Source organism: Homo sapiens, chromosome X, assembly GCF_000001405.40.
Source record: "Homo sapiens chromosome X, GRCh38.p14 Primary Assembly".
Classification (NCBI taxonomy): domain Eukaryota; kingdom Metazoa; phylum Chordata; class Mammalia; order Primates; family Hominidae; genus Homo; species Homo sapiens.
The window spans coordinates 68,874,040-68,880,722 of record NC_000023.11 but is presented as its reverse complement, the minus strand read 5'-3'; the positions used below and the strand labels follow the sequence as shown (position 1 = coordinate 68,880,722).

The following is a 6,683-nucleotide window of genomic DNA, read 5'->3' as shown; positions in this document are numbered from 1 at the left end:
CAGAGGGATCAGCTTTAGAGGCCAGTGGTTCTTGGGAACTGGGAAAGGAACTTACTTTCTTGCTTTGTGCCCTGCACTAGCAGAAGTAGGCACTTGTCAGAGTTATGTCATTTAATCTTCACAACTCCTGGGCACTTCAGAGAGGTTAGGGAACCTGTTCAAGATCTGCACAGTGCCAAATGGCCAGAGCCAGGGGCCATGAACCTGGGTGGCCAAGGTCCCATGGTAAATGTACCTCAGGCCTCTGCAAAGCGTCATGGCTTCAGCATCCAGGAGCCCTTGCCTCCTCCCTTCTGACCTCCACCAACCATACAGAGGATCCTAATGGAGATGGCACAGCCCAGGCTCCCAGACTGCGGGTTAGGGTGGGAGATGTGAAAGGTCACTCAGGGCAGCAGAGAGGCAGACTGGGAGGGGAACGTGGTGGGGCAGGTGGGGGATGGTATCTCACTGAAGGAATATCATCGTGAAGCTAGGAATGCTCACGGTCAGCTCTCCAAGGATGCAACTGGCTACAAAGAGAAAGGACATTTTCGGACAGTCAAAGGTACCAAGAGGGTCTTGGCTGCTCTTCCCTTGGAAGTCCAAAAGCTTAGGAGAGTCACCCATCTTGCCGGCTTGGGGGAGAATTCTGACAACTCCTGAAAGGAGGGCTCAAGAAGAGGCTGTGGAGTGGCCCAGGAGCAGGCTGGCAGAGGGCTTCAGGACCAGGGAAAGAGGCCCCTGGGAGTGAAAGAGGCTCCCCAGGGCAGCCCCTGGCTGAGCTATTAAGCCTTTACCCTCATGAGTCAGTCTGTTCCCAGGCTCACCATGGGGAGAAAGTGAATGGGTGAGGCAGATCTGGGTTCCAACTGTGGCTCCACCACCTCTGAGCTGAGTGATCCTAGTCTTGGCACCTCTCTAAGCCTCAGTTGCCTCATCTGTGAAATGGGGATGAGCAGAGTGCTTATATCCAGGGTTATTTTGAAGCTTGCAGGAGAGAAAGGATGGAAAAAAGGGTTCGTAACCTGTGATGGACTGGCCAGTTTGGAGGTGCTTTGGAGCAGGAGGTTGGGGTAGAGGGCAGATGTGCCCAGGAGCTGGGCCACACAATGGCACCAGCTGCCCCTCTGCCCTGGGTGCAGGCAGAGGCGCCACAATGTGTGCATTGTCATGCAGATGCTTTGCCCATCCGCCTACCTCCAGTGGGCCCACTAATGACCCTGAGAGCTAGTTGGAGGCTGGGGCAGGCTAATTACATGGCCCTGAGCCCGCCAAGACCCAATAATTACACAGCAACTTGTACAGAGAGGGTGGCTAATTGTGTGACAAGCTGTGAGGGGAGGGCCAGGGCGCCCCTCGAGCTAATGAGTTTCCCCCACAGTCCATGGGGCAGGGACAGGGTGAGGAGGGGATGTGGCAGGCAGGCCCTTCCCATTCCCAGCCCCCCATGGTGCCCAGCTCCTGGGAGGGTGGCAGGGCGTGCAGGAGGGAGGGAGCAGTGATTAAGAGCCAAAGCTCGCATCAGACCTGTCTCCTCTTGCCAAGTCTTGCTCAAAGCCGCACCTGGTCTGGTACTATGGGCCTGGCTCTCTCAGGAACCATCCCCCCACCACGCCTCCTTCATCCTAGGGTGGCTTGAACTCTTCCAGGCTTGCCTTCCTGCCTCCCAGCCCTGACTAGCTGGCAGACTGGCCATGGCAAGGAGTTTAACATTGATCTGAGAAATCCTCCAGGACCCTCCGGTGCAGCTCTCGCTTCTTCTAGGGGCAGGAAACCAGGGCCCAGGGAAGGGCCTGAGTCCAGGAGAGCTGATGAGCTGCTCTCTCACCTGCCTGCCTGCCCACCAGACGGAACTTCTTGGTTCTCTGAAGGCCTTGGAGTTGACCAGATTTGTGTTCTAATTTAGCCCTTTCACTTTCTACCTGCATGACTTTGAACGAGTCACTTTACCTCTTTGAGCTTCAGTTTCCCCACCTGTCAAACAACATGGTTATGAGGACAAAATGAGCTAATGCCAGTGAAGCCTAGAGCTCAGCGCCTGGCACCGTGTGATGGCCCTGAGTGCGTATCTGTGCTCCTATCTAGTTTCCTCCTGCACACAGGTTTCTGACGCCCCACCTGGAGCCAAGCTCCAAATAACAGCTTGAGGCCCAAATATTCCACAACCCAGCACCCCCTACCATCTCCACCTCATTTCCAGGCCCAGTCTCTACCCCTATCCATCAGAGGCTGCCCGAAAACCTGCCCCTACCCCAGCCACCAGTTCCTCCCTGGATACCTCTGAGTATCCAGAGGTATCCCTGAGACTGGAGCAAAACTGGAGCAGGGTGGGCTGTGAGGGCAGGAGGCTCATTATCCCATCTCTCTTCCCTTCAGACATGGCACCCTGTGGGGGTAAGGCTTCTTCACCCTGTGGTGGAGAGAGGACTGGGCACCCACTTCCCCTGGAGGCGTGTTTCTCAGACAATCTCCTCTCTCTCACTAGCCCAGCCCTCGGCTCCTGACATTTTTGGACCCCCCAAAAAAGCAAGCAGGAGGCAGAAGCATTGAAGTGGCTGCTGACAAGTTGGAACAGCTTAACAAATTACTCCTAATAAACTACCGGGGGCGAGAGGAGAGGAGGCCGGAAGCCAGTCTGCTCCCGGAGAGGCACCTCCATCTGTGCCCTGGTGCACCGGGCTGCCCCCTCAGCCAGTCTGCCTACCTGGCCTGGCTTCCAGGAGAGCCACAGGCTTTCCTGCAGGTATATCTCAATGGAGTACACCTTCGGCCCTACCCAGCCCCAGCCCTGGGGTCTGAGATTTCTCAGGCCTCAGATCCATGGTGGGGTCGGGGCGGCTGGGTCAGATTCTCACCTTCACCGAACCCCAGGGCCTCAGCCCAGCTCCTCCTGGCACAACCTCAAGCAGAAAGGAGAAGTGGCAAGGCCGGGTGCTCCCACCCTTAGGCTGTCTGGTGGTCCGGGAGCTCAGCCTGGAGGCCCCTAACTTATTTGGTACCTGACCATCCTACCCACACCGGGGCAGGCGGGACTCCCTCTGTGGGCACAAGCCCCGGCCACTGACTGAGGCTAATCATTTCTCCTGTTGGCCTTGCTTGACTTCTTGTCTTTCAAACAGAGGCTGTTCATCCCCCATCTGCCTACCTCGTAGGGCTGTCCTAGGTATTAAATAAGATCATTTAAAAAAGTGCTTTCTCAACTTTAAAGTGCCCACACACATGTTTGTTGTTAGGATGGCTGCTAATTATTGTTGCTGTTATTGTTATGATTCTTTTCTTTTCTGAATTCTTCACCTCTGGTCTCAGCTGAACTGGACCAGCGAGAAGAAAGGGTTGACAGGCTCCACCAGCAACAAGGAGCACTTCCAAAGCACTTTCACTTAATGCATCTTGTTTAATCCTGACATCAATGCTTTGAAGGAGGTGTTACTGTACCCTTTCACAAACGAGAAAACTGAGGCTCAGAAAGGTTAAATAACTTGCCCGAAGTCACACAGCTAGAGAGTGGCAGAGCTTAGCTTTGAACCCATTTTGGTCTTAAATGCAAACCCGGTGCCCTTCGAATGAGCTTGTTTAGTGGGCCTGGACCTTGCTAGACTGGACAGACAGGGAGTCCCCACAGTGGAGGCTCAAGATGCTGGACTTCCAAATGGGTCCCGACCACAGGGTGTGGGCTCTAACCTGAGAGCCATGGAACTGAGTCGCTGTTGAGGGTGAGCTGGGCACTGCTGGGACACACCATGAGCCGAGGCCTGTAATCTGATTAAACCATTAGAGACGCTGCCCCAAGCACGTGCTGTTGGGCCGCCAAGTCCCTCAATTAATCCCCAGATTAATCTGCTCCTTCTCCCTGTCCCCTCCCCTCCAACCCCCACTCCCAGTCCCAGGAAGTTCCCTTAGGCCTGGAGAGGGAGGCAAGCCAGACCCTGGGCCTTGTGGAGCTACAGCAGGGGCTCCTGACAGCTCCCTGGGATGTCATCACTGCTGCCTCTTAGAGAAGGGGGCCCAGGCTGCTCTGGCCACCTTATCTTGGATCTGCCTCCCTGTCAACACCTAGACCCTCTACTCTTTAAAGGGCTGCATTCATTCAACAATTTATTGAGCACTTAGTACATGTCAGGCACTGATCTGGGGATCTAGTGGTAAACAAGACGGACAAGGCCCTAGGGAGCTCCCACTGCAGAGAAGAGGGATAAATGCAGAAGTAATGCCAGTTCGATGTGCTCAGTGGGTGCTACAGCATGAGGCTACCAGTTGTCAAAGGAGGTCAGAGAAAAAGATTATTCCAAAGCAGAGGGAATATGTGCAAAAAAGCACGACGATATAGTGTGAAACAGCCTATTTGAGGAAGGTGACTTGGTCGGGGTGGGGAAGGAGAGAAGCAGAGGCTGGTGGAAGATGAGGCTTGGGAGTGGGCTGTGGCCCGTGGTAAAGGCTCTGCATGGTGTATGATAGCGTGAGTGACGCATTCGTGCCTGTGTGTGCACATGCTTGTAGGTGTGAGTGGGCATGTCAGCTCCTGTGCATGTGCAATGATGGTCACTTTTGTGATGGGTGTTAGGATCTGAATGTGTGCTCCCGGGTGTGTTCTCCTGAACCATCTCCAAAAGCACCCCCCGCACCCCCCCGCCGCTTTTTGTTTTTTTTTTTTCATTTCTCTTTGTTCCAGCAGACATCAGGGCTGGGGGTGGACCCTTCCTTAGCTTGTGTTGGGTCCCATCCCTGTGTGTGTTGGGTCTCCTTGACCACACTGCCAGCACCCCAGGGGCCAGGATTAACATTGCCATTTCCCCTGTAAATTACTTGCCCACCAAGTGTCAAGGACCAAGCCCTGTTCATGAGCAGCTTCCAACAGGGCATCACTGGACATATCTCTCAATCAAATATGCCAGGTTCCTGATGAGCGTGAACTCATATAACTGGATTCCTACTCCCTTCTTAGACAGGGCCCTTCAAGAACCCCAGCCCTAACGAACCCCAGCCAGAGCCAGGCAAGCATGAGAGGCTGGCAAGGACACATCCTTCAAACCACCTCTCCACTCTCCTCCTGGCTGAGCCCCCTTCGTGTCTCACCAGGATTGCTGCTCTCCAGCTCCTCCCTTCACCCCACCAAAGCCTATTCTCCAGGAAACAACCAGAGGGTTGCATTAAAACTCAGTTCAATCTTGTCATTTCCCTGCTGCAAGCCCTGCCAGGGCTCCCATCCCACTTGGAGTAAATGCCACTGTCCATTCCATGGCTCTTATCACGGCCCTATCTGATGTGCCCTGCACCCCACTCCACCCCTGCCATTGCTTTTTTCACCCCCACCCCCTACCACTCTCCTCCTTGCCTGATGCACTGCAGCCAGGCAGGCCTCCTTGCTGTTCCCCCAGCACACCAGGCACTCTCTTGCCTCAGCGTCTTTGCACTTGCTACACCCTCTGCCTGCAGGGCTCTTCCTCCAGATAGACAGGAGGCTCACTCCCTCTCCCCCTTCACCTTTTAACTCCCATGTCTTCTGTCACTTTCTCAATGAGATCCACCAGTACCACTCTATTAACAATGGCAGATCACCTCCCACCCTACCCTGGGCCTCCATTTTCTCCCATACTCTGGCCCTTTCCTCTCCACAGCACTCACCATGCTCAAACACACTGCATGACTGGTTGATTTGTTGTCTCCCCTCACTAGACTGTAGCTCCCCCAGGATCCCTGTGGAATCTAATCACTGATGGATCCCAGCTCCTAAAACATTTTCTGGCATCTTATAGACACACAATGAACATACGGCAAAAGAATGCAGCCAGGGGAAGAAGCCCCAGGGGCCAAGTTCTCTGGGACACGGGAGCAAGCATTCAACAAACTTTGGGATACAAGAGTTCCAGTCTCCATCCCCGATGGTACCATGCCACCTCTCCTCCCACCAAGATGCTGTTAGGTTCCTCATAGCCCCAGTAGGTTTAGACTGACCATGTGCGTGCATGCATGCACACACACACTGCCCATATGTGGGCACTGGGGCCAGATTCTTTGGCTCCGTCACTGGCCCATGGCTCCAGAAAACACCCAGGCTCTGCCCTTCTCCTCCCTTCAGCTGCTGCCCTGTTCCCTCAATAACCCTCTTTTCCTCTTCAGCCCCCCTAGGCCCTGGTTCTCTGCCCTCAGGGTCTTTTCTGGCCCTCCTGTGACCCTGGCCTACCTCAGTGTCCCCAAGCCTTGTCCCCTCCCCTTACCAATTCCCCTGGTCCCTAGCCTTCTCCCCTTGATGTCCCCAGATCTTGACCCTTCCCTTCCCAGGCCCCCAGATGCTATCTCTCTGCTCTGAAAGGCCTCTCCTGCCTCCTCCCTCTCTCTTTAGTGACCCCTGCCACCCCTGCCCCTCTCTGCTTGGTGCCCTTAAGTCCTATCCCTTTCCCTGTTATGGTCTCCCTGCCCCCGCCCCTTGCTGGCAAATGCCCAGGCTTCGGCTCTCACAGCCTCTATGAATTTCTGCCTGGCCTTTGTGCCACCTGCGGGCCCAGTGTCCCCAAGGGCTCTCCACACAGCCACTCACTAATTAGGTCAATTATGAGGTCAATTATCTAATCCTCTCCAATCCAGCTCTGGATTGCTCCACACACTGGAGTCCTCAGGCACTTTCAGGGGCTCTAGGCAGCAGATGCTCTGGCCTTTGCTACTTCTCACACAGATGCCCCCAGCCTGGCCTCCTGGCATCCTGG

The 6,683-nt window shown here is 54.8% G+C and overlaps 1 annotated feature.

The window, feature by feature from the left end:
• Window positions 712-1,300: an enhancer, noted in NCBI's record as "H3K4me1 hESC enhancer chrX:68099266-68099854 (GRCh37/hg19 assembly coordinates)". NCBI's record gives its function as "activates a minimal SCP1, AML or CMV promoter by ChIP-STARR-seq in primed H9 embryonic stem cells {active_cell/tissue: H9 hESC(primed)}" and the evidence as "EXISTENCE:reporter gene assay evidence [ECO:0000049][PMID:30033119]".